At 38.8% G+C, this 21,267-nt stretch overlaps 2 long non-coding RNA genes across 2 annotated transcripts in view; one reads left to right on the forward strand and one right to left on the reverse strand.

Moving 5' to 3' along the window:
* LOC124905244 (uncharacterized) overlaps positions 1–2,898 on the forward strand; it is a 28,519-nt gene extending 25,621 nt beyond the window's left edge. Inside the window, exons 2-3 of the long non-coding RNA XR_007068390.1 lie at positions 1,184–1,288; positions 2,746–2,898. This is a non-coding gene — a long non-coding RNA (uncharacterized LOC124905244). The remainder of the gene's footprint in view (positions 1–1,183; positions 1,289–2,745) is intronic.
* The window catches only part of HCCS-DT (HCCS divergent transcript), a 263,596-nt gene that overhangs the window by 79,044 nt on the left and 163,285 nt on the right, over positions 1–21,267 (reverse strand). The window lies entirely within an intron of this gene.

A 21,267-nucleotide genomic window follows, 5' to 3' on the forward strand; every position in this document is an offset into this window, starting at 1 on the left:
AATTTCCAGAACCATGACAGGAGTACAGAACAGTGGTCATGAGCTAATCAGTCAGCCTTTCTTGCAGCTGTTGCCATGTTATATGTGTGTGTTTGTTGCAGATAAAGTAAATATTAATAAGTTTATATGCATAGTATGCTTTATAGAAATCATATGATTGCTCTTCCAAAAAAAATAACAAGTTTTTTAAGCAAAATAAGTCCTTTAACTGGCAGTTTCCACATATGACTCTGGGAAGTGATGTTAATTTTATTAGGAGATCTGAATGTGAGGTTATTCGTATATTACCCAATAATATTTGTCAGCATTTTTCAGTGTTTGAATATTTGTTATAAAACATAATTCTTGGTAAAAAAAAATAGTAAACTGAAAATTCCTTTTTATTACATCATTTTAATGTCCATAATAATAAGATATGAAGAATGGTGGAAGTATTTAAAGAATAACATATGACTTAGAATAATTTGTGAAATTTCCAAGAATTCCAGTATCTCATTCCAAGTCTTGAAGACTAGAAATACTGTGAGATAAAGCTTGGGAATTCTCCAGGATTGATTAGAGAAATGATGATGACTAAAATGAGACTGCTGTTTTCGCTTTTATCCAATCAGAACTCAATCCTCTTAGCCAATCTAAACTTTAATCTCAGTGCTGTGAGCCTAATTTAACTGCTTCTTCAGAATAAGGAAAATAATTACACCATGCAAATTTCAATTGTGAATTTTCCCAACTTAGGAAAAGATCAATAGTTTTAAATATTTGTCCTCTATAGGGCTTGGCAACAACATGGCTAAAAATAAAAGCGATATTACAACTAAAAAGAAAAACACACCACTATAGCCATGCTATTGCTGCAGAAATTTTCATATACTTGACCTCTGATTAACATGTCATCTCTCTAAAGAGCTATTCTCAATTTTACTCCAGTGTCTTAGTCTGCACAGGCTGCCATAACAAAATACCATGGACTAAGTGGCTTAAACAACATAAGTCTATTTCTCACAGCTCTAGAGGTTGGGGAGTTCAACATCAAGGCACTGGCCAGTAGGGTTCCTGGTGTCTCTCTGAGGTCCTTTCTTATAACATCACTAATTTCATCATGAGGGCCCTACTCTCATGGCCTCACCTAACCCTAATTATCTCCCAAGGACGCCATCTTAAATACCATCCTGTTGGGTTGTAGGGCTTCAACATGAGAACCTGGGGTGGAGGACACAAACATTTGGTTCATAACATCTGACATGGCTTTCTTGAGACCAGAACCAGCTCATGAAAAGAGTCCAATCAGGTAAGCATAACTGGGCAGTTCCTACCACTTCTCCTTGGTGCTCCTTATTCCCCCAGGAACCAGTCCCTTAGGGTCCTCATGGGGGGCCTCTCTCTGGGATTTGGGGAGCAACTGAAGGGGGCAGCACATTCCCACGTACAGAGGGCAGACCATGTGCAGGGGCTTCACAAACATCATCAACTTTCACCCTTCCAGCATCCCTGCTGGGAGCACCTCTTCCATTTTCAGAAGAGAGACATTTGGGGTTGAACCAGTTTCAATAATTCATATGCCCATGTCACAGAAAAAGTAAGGACTAGAGCTAGTCTTTTCTTAAAGATACAATTCAGATATTAGAGAATTCACCCTTTCAAATTATACAGTTCAGCAGTTTTTAGTATATTCATAACATGCAACCATCACCCCTATCGAATTTCAGAACATTTATATCACCCCTAAAAGAAATCCCATACCCTTTAGCAGTCACTCCTCATTCTTCCCTTTCCTTGGCTCCTGGCAACCACTTATTTACCTTCTGTTTCCATGGACTTGCCTATTTTAGACATTTCATATAAATGGAGTCATACATGTTTTTTGTTATCTGGCTTCTTTCACTTAACATAAACATTTTCAAGGGTCATCTATGTTGCAGCATGAATCCCTACTTCATTCCTGTTTATGGCTTAATAATATTCCATTGTATGGATATACCACTTTTAATTATCCATTTATCAATTGATAAACATTTGGGTTGTTTCCACCATTTTGGCTTTTATGAATAATGCTGTTATGAACATTCATGTACAAGTTTTTGTACTGACATATGTTTTCCTTTCCCTTGGCTATATACCTTAGGAGTTGAATTGCTGGGTCATATGGTAACTCTGTGTTTAACTTTTTGGAGAACTTCCGACAGACCTAGTTTTGAACCAAAATACGTCTATGTTCTTTCCACCACATCAAGCAGTTATCACAACTTCGCTCAATCTTTGTTGCACATTCTAAGCACTTGGAGACCTTTGAAAATACTCTGAAGCCCAGGTGTCCCCTATGCAAGCGATTCTGATTTAATTGGTCTAAGGTGGGGCTTAGACACTGGTGTTTGTTCCTACTGGGAAGTCAAGGTGGAGAATCATAGCATTCCACTTTATGCATTCCAGATCTATGGACCTTTCAGCTGAGGTCAGTCTCCCTACTGTTGATAAAGGGAAATAACAGGCTAAACCACTCTGGGAAGGTGTTGCCCCTTTCTTGGCCACATCATATTTTAACAGAGTAAAGATGCATATGTCTTTGAGCATTAGATTTGCCTTTGAAGCATGGTGAGGCTATGGTAGGCCGGCAGGCCCCTTGGTGCCTAGTGTGCATCCATGAAGGTAAGGGCCCATTACTTTTCCTGACGTCTGGGATAACATTATTGTCTGTGAACCTTGCGATAACCCTCTGAGATAGTGATTGTCATGATCTCCATTTTGTAGATGAAAATGCTAAAGCTTGGAGAGTTTGAACCCCTTGCCTGAGGTCCTCAAGTGGTGGAGCTGGAATTCAAACCGCAGGCATCCAACTCCAGAGTCCTCAGTCATAACTGATCTGTGATATTGACTCTATTCTAATAAACAACTTTAACAAAATCTGTGATATTGACTCTCTTCTAATAAACAACTTTAACTTTATTCATCTTAATTACTGAAAAAATAATCACCAAACATAGTACTCTATATGACCAAAACCAAAATGAAACACTCTGGTGAGAAATGAACCAAAGACTTTGAAATCTGGCTAAAGGCATTAAGAAAATAAGTACTGATATCAGAAAATTTCAGATGTTCTGTCTTCCAAACTTATGTTGGGAACCTGACCCTAGAGCACAAGATATATTTTCCTTGTCCCCATGATGGATATATTTAATGATTCTTTTCTGGTCTGAGAATGGGGAATCTGATAATGCACCATATACAGTTACATTGTTCTGAGTCTGGGAGGACTTCTGAAGATTGAAAAGCTTACTAAAAGTTTACCAGCACAGTGCAGCCTAAGCTGCCATCTCCTTCCACCGACCAAACCATATCAGTTTCAAAACCATCTCTCTCAGTAGCCTCTGGTTTTATTTAATTTACTGCATTTGGAATTTGATAAGTTCCTGGCTAGCTTTCACATTCTTTTTCATCCTAGTAATTCACGTATTATCTTTCAGCTTTCAATTCTTCGAATCTTCTCGTTACTCCTAGAGAAAAACTGCTTTAGTGTTTTATCCATTTAATGCCTCAAAAACATAGTCAAACATGGGGATATATATTCTTACCCCAAAATGTCTCTGTGGTCCAGGAACTCCTCAATGTCCAACATTTTGGGAGGTCCATTTTTTGTGCACACCCCCCACTGAGGATCTACAGATGAAAGAGTGTCCCTACCCTACAGGAGCTCACATTTTTGTGGGACGAACAGACAACAGCCAGTTAAAAAATAATATAGGCATTCCAATAGAGGTATGGTATGTGGTGCTGCCCAAACTCATGATTGAGGAAGCTTGCACAGACTGTGGAGGCCAAGGAATATATTTTTTAGGAGGCTGTGGGCCATGATGAGTAAACAGGGACAACTGCATCCCAGGAGGTGGGAGGCATCCCCAAAGCAACATCTGTGAAAGTAGATGTGATCTGACCACAGACTGTGGGACATGGAATGAAGAGATATAAAATGGCTAATCCATATATAGTCTTACCATATGCCACTCATAGTTTTTCCTGCTTAATAACTGCTTGTTAATCCTCACAACTCCTGGGATATAGGTACTACTATTTAGAGATGAGGAAATGAAGGCAGAGAGAGGTCAGAGTGCCCAGTAAGGTATAAAGCTAGGATGCAAGCCCAGGCAGCCTGGAGCCAGAGTACACAGTTTAATTCTACCAGGCAGGTATGCAGAGCATGCATGAGATCATGACTGACTTTGCCAGTTCATTCCATTCATTCATTCACTTGTTCATTCATTCATTCAGCACATATTCATGGAATGCTACTATATGGCAAGGATGGTAATAGACTTGAGGATAAAACAGACAAGGCCCTTGAATTCTATCCTTAAGGCAACGGTGTGGGCAGAGCAGTGGGTGGGCTGCCGTTTGACTAAGATACAAATGGAATAATAAGACATGGGCCCTGCCTTTTGGGTGCTCAAGGTCTAACAAGAGAGAATGCTGTAAGAACAGGAAACATTCCATTAAAAAAATTCGTTCAATATTATGGAAAGAAAATTTAGACTGAGCATTGAACCTAACAAAAATTAATCTCAAAATGAGTAAGTGAGCAAAGATTGGTAAATAATAGGTTATTACGCAAATGGGAGAAAGTTGGAGATAGCTGATACCAATTGAAAGGGAATGCAACTTGATATGAAAAGTGAAATGGAGCAGAGGCAGGACAAGCTTACAGGGCTGGCAAATGCCACCTGGAGGCACCATGAACATGACTTGGTTCTCTATCAAAATCCTTCAGGGTCCAGGCGCCTGTAATCCCAACACTTTGGGAGGCAGAGGCGGGAGGATTGTTCGAGCCCAGGAGTTCAAGGCCAGCCTGGGCAATATAGAGACCCCAACTCTACAAAAAATAAAAAAATTAGCCAGATGTGTTGGTGCATATCTGTAGTCCTAGCTACTTGAGAGGCTGAGGTGGGAAGATCACTTAAACCCAGGAGTTGGAGGCTGCAGCAAGCTATGATTATGCCACTGCACTCCAGCCTGGGTGATAGAGCAAGACCTTGTCTCTAAAAACACAAAAACAAGAGCCCACAAAATACATCAAGACTTCTCTTGGAATGTTCAAGGATGTTGCCAGCACATAGTTGTACCTGGAAGCCAGCCTCAAAAAGCTCTCTGGCTGACCAAGAGAAGAACTAAAGGAAGATAGTTACAAATTCTTCCACGAACATACCCAATTCATACCCTCTGGCCTTAATGACTTTGGCAGACTGGGCACAAAACACATGACCCATCAGCTCCTGACTGACTGACTTGCCCCAATGTGAACCCCCACACCTCCACTCACCTCCCCTATCTCTTTCAAAACTTGCCAGTGACAGGAGAGAGGAAACTACTGGGCTCAGAACATTTTTTCTTAAAAATCTTTCCAAAGTTCCTTTTTAAACCGAAGCAGGGACAACACTTTAGGAAACTCTTTCCAAAGCAGATTTTTCTGCTTGACCAAAGGTATAATTTTTCCTCCAGGAAGTGAAGGCACCTCATGCTGGTGTAATCGAGTTTCCCTGGGAAGAAGCCGCTGCCCCCTGGGTGGTCATTGCTGTTGAAAAATTAAACACAGATGTTTGGCGGGTCGCCTCCCCATGCATCCCACTCTTTGTGTGTTTCCTCTTAGAGAGATGGGAGCAGATTCAGGACATCCCTGACATGCTGGGCCTACGTACTCATCAACACATCCATGCAGTTTGCTGTTATAGAAACCTCTGAAACTAATTGGTCATCCAGTGAATCCATTGGGCACCACCATATTGGTTATCCCTTCTCTCAACCATCGTCCCAGCCAATGAACACAGCAGTATGCCCCTTCTTATTTGAGGAATTATGAAAAAGCTTACGAATTTGTGAAATGCAATGCAGATTTTAAAGCTATAAAGCTATGTTCTTATTTACTCTTTTGGGAAATAAATGCCAATTATTTTAACCTGTCATACGAAGGGGAAATGAAAGGGTGAAGGTTGTTTCCCCAACATGGTGCTATTAAGTGAGGATCACGGATATTGACTTGTTAGTGCAGCCATCAATTAATAGTAATTTTTGAAAAATTATGAGCGGAAATAGGAATAAGTTAAACTTTTAAATCTCACCTTTACAAATATCCTACTAAGTCTTCTATCTTAAAATAAAAACATATTTATTCCTGTCCCTCTCAAGTTAGTCCATCCTTTATTTCCTGTCATTTATAACAAAACTTTTGAAAAACTATCTGGACTCCCTGAAGCCAATTTTTCTTTTCCCATGCATTTTATACTGCTTCAATTTATTTACCTCACTATAAAACTCATTTACATGAAAACCTCCCAAACACAAAGCAAATCAGCTCTGTTTTTCAGCTAATTTCATTTTCTTTCCAGTCCTCCACTCTCTAATTTTAGGACCACGCTGTAATCAGGCTTGTGCATCAGTGCAAGCTGGCTTCCTGTACTAGCTCATTGCAATGCTCTTCCTTGGTGGGTCCTTAAACAGGCCAATAAAATCATAGTAAAAGCACTGTCTACAACTTCATTCTGCAGCACAAATATTAATCTATTGTCAGTTATTATTTGCAGGCAGCAGTATTTTCTAGTATCAACAAATCTGTCCAAATCTGGTACGATGCCAAAAAACTCATCATGACACACAATTAAAATACTGTGTTTCCACCCATTTTAGTCAGGGCCCATAAATAGAGTATGTGTACATATGTGTGCTGTGTACCCTTTAAGTATACAAATGTCACTTAGTCATCTTGCACTTCTATAATTGTGCTCACTGAATGTGTTGCTTCCTTAATAATAACTGTAGGCTAGGGTGATTGATTGATTTGCAAGTGTATTCACTCTCCAGTAGTAAACCCTGCAAGCAACTTTTGAGTAATTATGGGGTAAGGGAGGGAATAAGTCAAAGCTTTAAAATCACCTTCAAAACATGCAGTTATTTCTCCTATCTCCCAATTTTTCTCCAGATAGTGACACATTTCTCAACTTCCTTTTACAAGGAGACTCCTTCCAAGTGTTGTTTCTATTTCCTCTTTCCACTTTCCTGCCTCCCAGTCTTGTGAACCTCCTCTTTTCAAGCCATTGCAGCCACCAAAGCTGTTCTAATGAAGGATCACTAGTTACTTCAACATTACTACATCTAACATTAGTTCTCAGTCCATATCAGGTGTGGCTCATGGGCAGCATTTTACAAAGCTCATCACTATCCCTGAAACACTTTCTAGGCTGGGCGTGGTGGCTCACACCTGTAATCCCAGCACTTTGGGAGGCTGATGCAGGAGGATCACTTGAGGCCAGGAGTTTGAGACCAGTCTGGCCAACATGGTGAAACCCTGTCTCTACTAAATACACAAAAATTAGCCAGACGTGGTGGCATGTGCCTGTAATCCCAGCTACTTGAGAGGCTGAGGTATGAGAATTGCTTGAGCCTGGGAGGACAAGACTGAATTGAGCTGAGATCACACCACTGCACACCAGCCTGAGTGACAGAGCAAGATTGTCTAAAACAAACAAACAAACAAACAAACAAACAAACAAACAGGGAAGAAAGAAAAAGAAGAAACATTTCCTATTCTTGACTGTCAGGATAGGCACAGGAAAACCATCTTGGTTTTTGTTCTGCTCCTCTGTTTCTCCTGAGCCTGCTTCACTGATCCCTTCTCCTCTTCCTTTCTTGTTCCCTTTTTTTTTTCAAATTAAGGTGAAATTCACATAACACAAAAGAAACCATTTCAAAGTGAACAATTATATGGCATTTAGTACATCCACAATGTTGTCCAGCCACCCACCTCTATCTAGTTTCAAAACAATGTTATCACTCCAAGACGAGATCCTGTATCCATAAAAAGGTCACTCAACATTCTCCCCTCCACCTAACCCCTGGTAACCACTAATCTGCTTTCTGTTTCTATGGATTTTATTATTCTGGTTATTCATATAAATAGAATATGTATTTATATGAATACATATTCCTATAATAGAATATGGACCACCCAGGTCCACACTACTGTTACTCTTTTCTGGATTATCACAATGGTCCCCTGACTGGTTTCTCTGCTTCTGCCAAGGTTGGGTTATAAAACACAAAAAGACACACACACACACACACACACACACACCCCAACATCAACTCCTCAGGACTCTGTCTTTTTGGATGTTTTCACAAACTGTTAGCCTGCTTCTGATTATAAAAGATTTCATATGTCTTTTGTGTCTGGCTTCTTTCACTTAGCACAAGCTTTTCAAGGTACATCCATGTTGTCCTATGTGTCAGTACTTCATTCCTTTATGAATGAAGACTATTCTACTGTATAGATAGACCATAACTTGTTTCATCTGTTGATAGACATCTGGGTTGTTTACTTTTGTGCTATTTTGCCCCTGACTTGTTAATATCAGCATGCTCTGGGGCTTAGTCCTCCCACCTCTTCTCTCTGTTTTCCTTTCCATATCAGTCTTCAGTGGATCTATTCCAGTTGCATGATTTTATGTGATATCTGAATGCTGTATATCTCCAGCTCAGACCTCTCTCCCAGTTAAATATACTCTTATATTTAACTGCCTGCTCAGCATCCATTGTTGGGTGTTTAATAAGCATGTCAAATGCAACATGTCCAAAATGATACTTTTTATATTCTCCCACCTACCCTTTACTACCAATCCTGCTTCTCCCAGTCTTCCCCATCTCAGTTAATGACAACTCCATCCACTTGCATGCTTTGGCCAAAGTACTTAGAGACACCCTTGATTCGTCCTGTATTCACATTTGATCCATTAGCAAATCCTATCACCCGCTCTCATCACCTCCACTTGGACCACCCAGGTCCACACTGCCGTTACTCTTTTCTGGATTATCACAATGGTCCCCTGACTGGTTTCTCTGCTTCTGCCAAGGTTGGGTTATAAAACACAAAAAGACACACACACACACACAGACCCCAATATCAACTCCTCAGGACTCTGTCTTTTTGGATGTTTTCACAAACTGTTAGCCTGCTTCTGATTATAAAAGATTTCTTAGGCAAAAGCATTATGACCTTCCAGGAGAAGTTGAAATGTATCCATTATCAGCTGGCAAGAATACGCTCAGATGAAATAAATATGGAAGAAATGACTTTATTTACTCTCAAATGTGCTTGTTTTCTGGCTTTATTTTCCTTGTTTCCAATTCTTAAGGAAAAAAAAATCAACATAAATTAAGTTCCTTAGGTCCGCTCCAAGGGAAAGGAACAAATTCTTCTTTTTGCAATTTCGATAGTAATCTTCCTCCATCCATTTTAATATATGGACTAACTTCTAACCCCCTGTCCAGCTTCTATTCCATGTATGTGAATTAACTCCATGTTGCCTAAGTATTTAAAAGGACAGTAAATTAACTCTACTGAACATACTCACAGAAGTCAGCATAGCAGCACCAAAAACTTACATCAGAGTTCAATTAGCCACAAACTATTTTTTTCTTGTCAAATGTATAATTACACCACTATTATTTTCAAGAAAAGAAAATTGTGATATAATATCACTGCCAACTTATCTTTCCATAAGGCAGTGATTTTCATCTTGGGGCTATTTTGTCTCCCAGGGCACATCTTGCAATAGCTGGACACGTTTTTGGTTGTTGCATGGTGATGGAGGATTGCTAATGGCATCTAGTGGGTAGAGGCCAGGGATGCTTCTAAACATCCTACAGTGCAGAGGGCAGTCTCCCATCACAAAGAACTACCTGGCCCAAAATATCACAAGTGTCAAGTTTTAGAAACTTAGCTTTGAAGTTACAACACTCATTACTCCATGGGGCCATGGGAGATAAGTCCAGTTTTAAAAGATTTACATTTTATAAGTAAACTTCTGGTTTTCAGACTTTTGATGCCTTTCATTGAAGGCACAGCTTTTACATTTTCATCTCGGATAATGTTATATAAATTAACATATGTCATCTTTAAAGTCACCCATGTAGCACGAAACTGACTTTTGGAACTACTATGAGAAAAACTCAGTAACTACTAATTTCCTGAAACACTGATCTGGCACCAAACAGATACCCTGGAGATGAACAGAGAAGCATGAAGCATAGTCCATTGTATACAGTGTGTGTGGGAAAGATCTGGTGATATCTCGACTCCAGTTCAGGATGTGCAGGATGTGTTTGAAATACAAGTTTCTGGATGGTTTGTTAGTGTCTACATTTATCAACCTGATATAGTATTCAAATCCTTTTTGGGTCTAATAGGGTCCCACAATTTCTATAAATGAATGTGGTGTGAGATGACTTAGAATGCTTTTATTTCAAAACATTCAAATCAATCTCTCCCTATTACATGTATAAACATAGGTATAGGTATAGGTATAACCCTGTAACCACTGGGGCCACATTAAATTAAAAATCTCACATCTATTGTGTTCTCTACTTTAAGAGGTTAACTAAAACATTAGCTTCCCAGAATGTGGATACTTAATGGACTTTAATGAAGATCTAGTGCAACCACTCCTTTTTATTACAAATGAGGAAAGAGAGGATCCCAGAGGATATGAGACTTTTCCAAGGCCAAAGAGCTGGTTATTGGCCAATCCTGGACAAGAGCTCCTCTTCTGTTAAAATATTCTGGGATTATTCCAACAAGCTAATCTTTCTTTGCTTAACTTATTTGGAATCAAACTTTCCACAACTGCTGCATAAAGTTGTGTTGGCTAATTTATTGTGTCTATAAACTTGGTATAAGTCCCTGAGCAAGTTACTTATTCCCATCCTTTTGTCTGAAGTGAAAATCTTCCACTAGGCACACAGCACAATGCTGTCTTCTCTGAGGTGAGCTGAAAAGTATTATATAATTCAGGCTTTATAAGTGCAATGTGTGATACATAATACTTAATATATAATATGGTACAGTTAATGATTTTTTTCTCATAATGGCTTCTGAGGTATTATACCACTTTTAGAACACTACTTTCTTCCCAGAATATCAATTTTTTCACCCCAAAACACACTAAATGAACTAAAAGAAGTGATATGTCAACATTATTAATTTAGACAAAGATATCTTCATCAATTTACTTGACACAACAATTTTTAGTAAGAGAATATAGTAATATGAAACAAGTTTTATGTCTACCATGCTTGAACGAACTCAAAGGGTTTTGCTTGGTTTTTAAGCTAAGGAAGAAGGATAAACTGGTTGATGGCTGTTGGCCACATGTGCCATTTCCTCATTTTTGAGACACACCTTAATGTTGCCCCCTTGGTATATATTTCTTTCTGCACTATTTGTAAGTGTATTCTGAATATAATGCAACCATGAGCCCCAAAAGATTGGGAAGTTGGGAAAGAAAATGAGTCACAAAAAAATGACTCAACAAATCTTCACAACATTTATATTTATAGGTACAAAATCTACTTATGTATTTATCTATTTAGTATCCATTTAATCTAATTAGTGAACTTTTTTATTTCATGGTTTTCAGTAATGAATTACTGTTTTTAAGCAAAGAATAAAGCTGAAAGTGATTTGGGATTTTTATCATAAAGCCAAGTACTCAAGCACTCTCCACAGTTATAACTCTACAGGTTGCCGCTCCCTGTTCCCTAGTAGAATTAATTATTAAAACATTTGATTCCAGATCTTTTATTCTCTTTGTATATCTTCTCTTTTTATCTTTTCCTACAAGCTAGATACCACGGTATTGTAACAGACACTTCAAAAATGCCTGGAGTCAGGCATGGGACTTTATTAGGAGGCTCTGGCTGGAGCTTTTTGCAATGAAAACTAAATAATTCTGCATTTAAATGGAAATGAAAATATTTCATCCTGAATTATCTTTACGAGATGATTTCGGCTTTAACATATGAAAATAGCAGTTGAGATTGTTATCTGTGAATTTCTCAGGAGCTCCATTTTCGGACTATGTGGTCTATTTTAAACACACCATATGGATTATGTACTCTAAGAACTACTCTCGACTAAAAAAAAAAAAAAAAAAAAAACTTTGCAAACACAAACCACCCAGCTCTAAAGTCCCAGCTGGCACTTCTGTTACCCATAAGTGCTCTCTTCTGTTTATGTTTCTTACACCCACATGTATATATGTTTGCAGTTGGAACCCTTCACCCTTGTCTCTTAAAAATTCCTTGAGCAACAAGGCAACTGCGAATGAGATTTTGCTCCATTTCTTGTAGCACGAACAAGGCCAACACTGCAGGCAGACAGCTGGTGAGAGAACACATGGTCCAGAATCTTCTCCTCCTCCTCTTCCATCTAAATTTGCTTGTCTTGTGTTCCATTCCCTTGAGGCTCAACTCTCTGCTCTCATTGATGCCACCCAGTCTGATGAACCAGCATTTCCCAAAGATGTGTGTTTTACAAGCTGTTAGCAAGAGTCCCATGAAAAGATGGGTTCCATGGTTAAAAGCATAGGAAGTCAGAACTTATCAAAACCTTTTATGCCCAGGACTTTCCATGTTATTGTTCATTATAAATATATTAGATGGGATAGCAAAGTACAGATTTTTAAAAAATGTTTAAATATTTTCATATTTTTCCCCGAGTGTCCTACAGAAAGAATAGACCATAGAACTCATTTTGGGAAATACTGCTAATGTTAATGGCATAAAGGAACTTTTCAAGATCTAACACTATATCCCAGTGGCATGGGTCTCAAGTAGGACAGGCAGGCTGCAGGGGAAGCTATTTTTAAATAAGTGGAGCTATTGGCACATATCAGGGACCACCACACAAGTGGTTGCCAGTTTCCGTCTGATAATAGAGTTCCCTGTGACATAGTCACATTGTCACACATCTAGGAGTGACAGCAATGATTTCAGGGATAATGAACTACACAAGAGCAATGCAGAAAGTAGACAGAAATTTTAACTGCACTTTTCAGGGTTTATGAATTACAAATAGTAGCAATCCTTTCATCCTCCACTACACAATGATTACCTTAAGTATGGAGATCAGGTTGTTCCTTGATGTTGCCCTAGGCTCGACTATGTACAGGGTCTGGCACATGTGTGCACTCCATAAATATTTGCAGAATGACTCATTGAAGCAGTGATCACCAGATTTGGTCATTCAGCTCAGTTTTTATCTTTCTATCTTCTCTACAATTCCAATCACCTTTTCACATATGATCATGGGAATCTGTAGATACGGAAACCAGAGAGGACATCTAGTCTGCTATTTGTCATCAGTCTGAAAGCTACATCTATTAGATGAATGACAGCTCCCCTATCTTTACAAACCCCAGTAAAAGAGGCTTCAAATCTTCCTTATTACCTTGTTTGAGTTGAATTACACTCACTACTAGGAAACTCAATCTCAATCGCACCTTCTATCTTATGTAAGCATTCAAAAGGCACTGGAGGGATGGTGGCCATTTCCCTGGATGTATCAAGTCCAACCATAACCCTTTGTCAAAAGCACCAAAGAACAATATTTTTCTTGATGCATGATCAGATGAAGGACGTTCTCTGGAATCTAATTTCCATTCCCACCTTTTAAAAAATACACACACACATACACATATACACACATGCATATATCTGTGTGTATGAGAGTGTATTTATATGTGAGTATGTGTGCTAATATCATCACTTGGCTAATCATGTAGGTTCAAGATTTTAGCCATTTTCATATCCTCCTCCTTCTGTGAACTTTGCTTATTTAATTAACTACTGAATTGGGTTTATACTGCTTCTGAAATGATGTTCGTGCCCATTGGATCATCTCCAAATTACTACTACTAGTTCAGCCTTCTTTCTCTTTCATTTAGACTATGCAGTAGGCTTCAAACTGGTAGAGAGATGTTTCCAAACTCCCCATCCAGTATTGTATTTGTATAGCAACTTATAACTGCTAAAATGTCTTCTAATATATTATTTTATGCATATGACAATTCTGTGGACTAGGCAGTATGGCCTCTGTGTGCAGATGAGGTAGTGGTGAACAGTAAACAATTAGCTCAGTGTCCCACCACTATTAATTTATGTGTCAACAAATCACCTCTTTTCTCCTCCTCTTTTTTCCCCATAGACCTTAGGTATTTTTTTTTATTATACTTTAAGTTCTAGGGTACATGTGCACAACGTGCAGGTTTGTTCCATATGTATACATGTGCCATGTTGGTGTGCTGCACCCATTAACTCGTCATTTACATTAGGTATATCTCCTAATGCTATCCCTCCCCCCTCCCCCCACCCCACAACAGGCCCCAGTGTGTGATGTTCCCCTTCCTGTGTCCAAGTGTTCTCATTGTTTAATTCCCACCTATGAGTGAGAACATGCGGTGTTTGGTTTTTTTGTCCTTGTGATAGTTTGCTGAGAATGATGGTTTCCAGCTTCATCCATGTCCCTACAAAGGACATGAACTCATCGTTTTTTATAGCTGCATAGTATTCCATGGTGTATATGTGCCCCATTTTCTTAATCCAGTCTATCACTGATGGACATCTGGTTGGTTCCAAGTCTTTGCTATTGGGAATAGTGCTTCAATAAATATACATGTGCATGTGTCTTTATAGCAGCATGATTTCTAATCCTTTGGGCATATACCCAGTAATGGGATGGCTGGGTCAAATGGTATTTCTAGTTCTAGATCCTTGAGGAATCACCACACTGTCTTCCACAATGGTTGAACTAGTTTACAGTCCCACCAACAGTGTAAAAGTGTTCCTATTTCTCCACATCCTCTCCAGCACCTGTTGTTTCCTGACTTTTGAATGATCGCCATTCTAACTGGCGTGAGATGGTATCTCATTGTGGTTTTGATTTGCATTTCTCTGATGGCCAGTGATGATGAGCATTTTTTCATGTCTGTTGGCTGCATAAATGACTTCTTTTGAGAAGCGTCTGTTCATATCCTTCACCCACTTTTTGATGGGGTGGTTTGTTTTTTTCTTGTAAATTTGTTTGAGTTCATTGTAGATTCTGGATATTAGCCCTTTGTCAGATGAGTAGACTGCAAAAATTTTCTCCCATTCTGTAGGTTGCCCATTCACTCTGATGGTAGTTTCTTTTGCTGTGCAGAAGCTCTTTAGTTTAATTAGATCCCATTTGTCAATTTTGGCTTCTGTTGCCATTGTTTTTGGTGTTTAGATATGAAGTCCTTGCCCATGCCTATGTCCTGAATGGTATTGCCTAGGTTTTCTTCTAGGGTTTTTATGGTTTTAGGTCTAAAATTTAAGTCTTTAATCCATCTTGAATTAATTTTTGTATAAGGTGTAAGGAAGGGATCCAGTTTCAGCTTTCTCCATATGGCTAGCCAGTTTTCCCAGCACCATTTATTAAGTAGGGAATCCTTTCCCTATTTCTTGTTTTTGTCAGGTTTGTCAAAGATCAGATGGTTGTAGATGTGTGGTATTATTTCTGAGGGCCCTGTTCTGTTCCATTGGTCTATATCTCTGTTTTGGTACCAGTACCATGCTGTTTTGGTTACTGTAGCCTTGTAGTATAGTTTGAAGTCAGGTAGCATGATGCCTCCAGCTTTGTTCTTTTGGCTTAGGATTGTCTTGGCAATGGGGGCTCTTTTTTGGTTCCATATGAACTTTAAAGTGACCTTAGGTATTTTTTTAAGTAAGTTGTTAATGACTGCTAAACAAGAATGTATTAAGTGGGAAAAGACAAAATTTGTCTTTATATATAATTTTAAAAGTTATTAACCATCAAAATCTTAAAATAAATATGTATGTAAAGTTAAATAATTCTACTTAAAATTAATTAATTTATACTATGAAAAATTATGTAATTTCTAAAATTCCTATGGGCATGTGAAAAGCCATATATGGCCATGAAACGATTCTGTTATTTCCTAATTGTTGTGGTTTGTAGGTCTGACTAAGTAGAACTACATGTGGGGTGCAGACCCTGCATTTGTCCATTCTTTACTCCCAGCATAGGATGACTCTTTCCAGTATCTCCAATTTGCCAAATCCTGTCCACCCTCCAAGTCCCAGTTAGTATGCCATTCCCCTCCCCTACCCACTGACCCATAAGGCCTTGTCTGTTACCTTAGGTTGTTGTTTAAAACTCTCTTAGGGAATTCAACAAATCCTAGCCTAAATCATAGTTATCTAGGTATACATTCTCCATCGTTACAGAATCATTCATTCATTCACTGATTCAACAAATAACCTTTCAGCATTGTTACCATGCCATTCTGGGCCCTGAAAACAAAGGGAGTGAGAAGAAATAAATTCTGCCTTAAGAGTGCCATCTTGTGCAAGCAGCTGCTGTCTTTGCTATATCACATGTATGAGTGAATAGTGTTGCTGTGTCCAGTCCAGCAAATCTGACTGCAGACCTCAGTTTACTGAGGCTGTTTATTCTACTGCCTCTCTAGTGTAGCCTGAGACTGTAAATTTATCAGAAAGAAATTCAGCATTTCAGCCTTGCATTTAGTATCTAACAGCTAACTGCACTTCAAACAGAATGGCGCTTCTTTTGAGAAAGAAGTATCTCTCACATGAGCCCAGCATTCCATGAACCAATGAACGAAAGTGTTGTTTAAACATTCTATTTCTCCCTGAATTCTTCTCTTAATTAATTATGTAGCTCAGGGTAGTAACAATAGTAAGGAAATCTGATACAGCCAGAGTTCTTTTCCACTAACAAACTTTTAGACCTTCTTATTTATGTTTATATTTACATTCATATATGGGAGTGAGTTAATTTTACAAAATACTCTGAGTTCAGTGGGAGTGAGAAGTGTCCATGGCATCCTTGAGTAATTGGGGACAATTGTTTGAGTGCTTGGTGCTAACTGTAACTGTCAGTTCATCATTTATATAACAAACTCTTATGAAGATGTCTTTCCACAGCCAGCATAAACCAATACGCTAACGTTGGAGCAAAGGGAAAAAAACTTTTAGTAGACTTTGTAAATTACAGATTCCATCACTATTTTATGGGTTGGCCAGTTCTTTCAAAGTAGGATTTGATACAGCTTACAAGTTAGTATATAAATTCCAAATAAAAATGGGAAATTGAGGTCATGGAATGAAGTAGAAAGAAAATGTACACTGGCACATTTGATGGCACTAAACAAGTTTAACTCTGAGCTTCTTGCTGGCAAGGGCAAAAAGAGAAAAATGACCAGTAACTGAGATATCATTAGCAGAATGGACAACACATATGAATGTTCTCCTTGGCTAACCTCCTCAGTTGGAGATTAGATGGTAGTTTCCTCATCTTTACCTCTCAGTTTGCTAAACTGGATCTTCCTTTCCAAGTGGAAGTTTGGGCTCCATTAAGTTTTACCAAGTTTCCTCTGTAATCGAAGACAGTATTGTGTTTATAGCTAATAACTGGGATGGCTGCCTTTTCTCCTGACCCTGGTAATCCATTCTTCAGAGAACAGTTAGAGTGATCTCTCACAAACAGACATCAGAGCAGGTCTGTCACATATCCACCATCCTCCCAAGACTTTCCATCACACTTAGCATAAGTCCAGACTCAGACTCCTATGCCTAACCCAGAGGTCTCCAACCTTTTTGGCACCAGGGACCAGTTTCATGGAAGACCATTTTTCCATGGACCAGGGAGGGGGTAGGATTCTTGCGCATTACATTTATTGTGCACTTTATTTCTATTATTATAACATTATAATACATAATGAAATAATTATACAACTCACCATAATGTAGAATCAGTGAGCGCCCTGAGCTTGTTTTTCTGCAACTAAATGGTCCCAGCTGGGGGTGACAGGAGACAGTGACAAATCATCAGGCATTAGATTCTCATACGGAGCATGCAACCCAGATCCTTCGCATGCACAGTTCACAACAGGGTTCACATTCCTATTAGAATCTGATCCAGCCACTGATCTGACAGGAGGCAGAGCTCAGGCAGTAATGCAAGCGATGGGGAATGGCTGTAAATACAGATGAAGCTTCCCTCACTCGCCCGCCCACCATTCACCTCCTGCTGTGTGGCCGGGTTCCTAACAGGCCAGGAACCAGTACTGGTCCATGGCCCAGGGACTGGGGACCCCTGCTCTAACCCACATGACCCTACAAGATCTGAACACTGCCTCAGCTTCCAACTCCCTTTCCCTCTCTCAATTCTACTTTAAGCACTGTGGTCATCTATTTCTGGAATACACCAGGCTTATTTACTCCTCTGGGTCTTAGCACTTGCTCCTCCCTCTGCCTCAAAAGCTCTTCCCTAGATTTTCACATGGTTTGCTTTTTCATGCATTCAGAAATAATGCAAATGTTAAATTCTCGAGAGGTGCTTTCCTGATGACCACAAAACCAGTCTGAACATCACATTTTATCACATTACTGGGTCTTATTTTCTTCACCACACTTAGCACCTGAAGTGATCTTGATGCCTGTCTCCATTTGCTTGTTTGTCTGTGTCATCACTAGCATGTAAACCCACAAGAGAAGTTGTGCATGACGTGTGGTGGTGATGAAGAAATCATTAATGAAAGATATATTATAAATGGATTTTATTATTAAAATGTATAAAATGAAAGAGAAATACAAATATATCATAGTTATTTCCTTTCCCAAACTATCTGGTTAATGTCTACATCAGTGAATTCACTTAATACAGGGGTTGGCAATTATTTTTCTGTAAAGGACCACTAAATAAATATTTTAGGCTTTGTGGGCCATATGGTCTCTGTCTCAATTACTCATCTCTGTGCTTGTAGCACAAAAGTAGCAATACATAATACATAAACAAATGGGTGTGCCTGTATCAATAAAACTTTATTTTAAAAAATAAGCAGCCATTGGATTTGGCCCTTAGGCCACAGTTTACCAAATGCTAATATAGCATGTAGATCATAGTTAGTACCAAGAAAATCAGAGTTGCTGTTAAAAGTAAAAACAAATAACAACAAAAAAATCAATGTTAAAAAGAATCCAGAACACTGGAGCAAAAATTCATATGTATAAAAAATGAAACAATAATAAGAATAATAAAAAAAACCAAATAGCAGCAATGCCAATGTCCATATCCTGGTTTAGGCCACACTCCCGAGCTTCACTCCATGGCTGTGAAAAGATGATCCTCTCTCTAGAATATGCTGATGAGATCATACTTGGAAAAATGTAGACAGGTCCAGGCACTTCATTAAGGAGAAAATGGAAAAAAATGTCCAAAAACTTTGGAAAGCCTTCCTAGTCGCTGGAGTGCATTCAGAAGCATGCAGCCAGAAAGGCAGCTTGGGAAGCGAACAATTGCAGAATGATTAAAAAGGCCACAGGCTATGAAACAGGGTGGAATAAAGGAAGACTACAGGGGACACGTGAAAGCATTTATGTAAGAATGCTGCACAAGCTGCAGAAAGAGGTATGTGCTGTTCATTCTATCTGAAGATTTGAAAACATAAAATAGAATGAAATTTGGAGATACATATTGGATCCAAATTTTCCCACCGAGTTTAGAAAAAAATAGTAATATCTCTTCTTTTAAAGTCTCTCCCAGTGATTCTAGAAAATGTTTCCAAGAATATATTTACATTTATTTAGCACTTCACAGTTTTTAAGGTACATTTGAACACTCCATTCCAATTTGATCATTGAGGCAGGCAAGAAAAATTTTACTATCCCTGTTTTGTAGATGAAGGAACAGAAGTTCAGAGAGGTGAACTGGGTTGGCTAGTAAGTAATTGGGTAAAGGGCATAAGCTTTGGAGCCATGTAGATCTGAGTAAAATTCTAGCTTAAGTCATTGGGCTTATTACTACTTAAGACAGAACTTTCTCTGAACACCTACATCTTCATGGACTCAATGTTACACTTGGGAAATTTCTGGCTTGACATGAGATATACCTGAAGTACATTTAAAAAAATGTAGCTATTCTTGAGCTTCACCCAGACCAATTAAATAAAAATTTCTGGGAGTAGGGCTCAGACATCAGCAATATTTAAATATGCCAAGGTACCACCAAAGTTGAGAATCACTGATCTAGTACAAGGGTTGGCAAATGTTTTCTGCAAAGGGCCAGATATTAAATATTTTAGTCTGCTTACCATTCAGTCTCTGCCACAACTACTCAACTGTACTGTTCCATGGCAAAAGCAGCCTTAGACAGTATATAAACAAATGGGCATGGCTGTGTTCCAATAAAATTTTATTTACAAAAGCAGGCAATGGGCCAGATTTGGCCCAAGGGCCATGGTTTACCAACCCCTGATCTAGTAGAAGATTTCTATGGAAAGAGACGTCTGGAGATGTTAAAGACCTCATCATTCATCAATAACAAAGTCAAAGCCAGGATTCTGCTGTTCTGCCCACTGGCCTGCTGTGGTCCTACTACCAGCTCTCTCTGTGTCTTGGACATGCTGTGCTTTATTCTCAACAAGCTTAAAACATTGCTCCAGAATAACATATCAATCATTTAATGGGAAGAGGGCTGCCTTTAGACAGAGACAGCCATGGTTTTCAGTCCCAGCCCTGCCACTCATTAGCAGAAGCAGTTCCCTCAAACCCTCTGTGTCTGACTGCCTTCATTAATAACCCAGATATGAGATTCCCCGCAGAGAATTTCTGTGTGGGTTAAATGAGGATGAAATGGCCTGGCACCACAGTTGGCACATGGTAATTGCTTGATACTGATTCCACCACGTGCAGACTTTTATTATTTTAAGATGTGCTCTTTTACACTTCATGTAAAATATTGGAAAAAACTGAAGTCTTAGGAAAAGATATATATTTTACTAAAATTTACTCTCACAATCAGAGAGGAGAAGGAACATATTGAAAAGGGGATCGAAAGAGGGGTAAAGGAGATATGTGAAGAAGCTCCCCAAAGAGATTCTGATGGCCATGCCCAACCTTACCACCAACTGAGAATCACCAGCCTAGAGTCTGAATAGTCTTCCAGCACCCCAGAAGTTGAAACGAGATGAAGACAGTGCAAAGATTATATATATTTTAAATCAGATATATGAGAAATGTGGTGTGGGTTTGTTTACTCCATCCTCCTAGGCTTGGTGACTTAAATATGAATCTAAATACCGTAATTCATTATTTTTCATTAAATATAGGAGACATGTTAGTCAAAGTGTGACTTCAGGATTTAGTTGACATGACAAAATTGATTTATACTGATATTTGTGAATTTAGTGACTTTTTAAAATACCCTAGGGTGGTCATCAAGCTACCTATCTTTCCACTGAGGTTTAGAAGATTTCTATGTCACATATTCTAAAAGATTGGGATACTAATTCCTATGAGCAGGAATTGTTGGTTGACTGTACAACATCCATTTCCTTCCTTGCTTGCTAAGGGATCCCTATATCATTCAAAGATTTCTTGCTCCTAGGC

This window comes from Homo sapiens, chromosome X (assembly GCF_000001405.40).
Source record: "Homo sapiens chromosome X, GRCh38.p14 Primary Assembly".
Classification (NCBI taxonomy): Eukaryota; Metazoa; Chordata; class Mammalia; order Primates; family Hominidae; genus Homo; species Homo sapiens.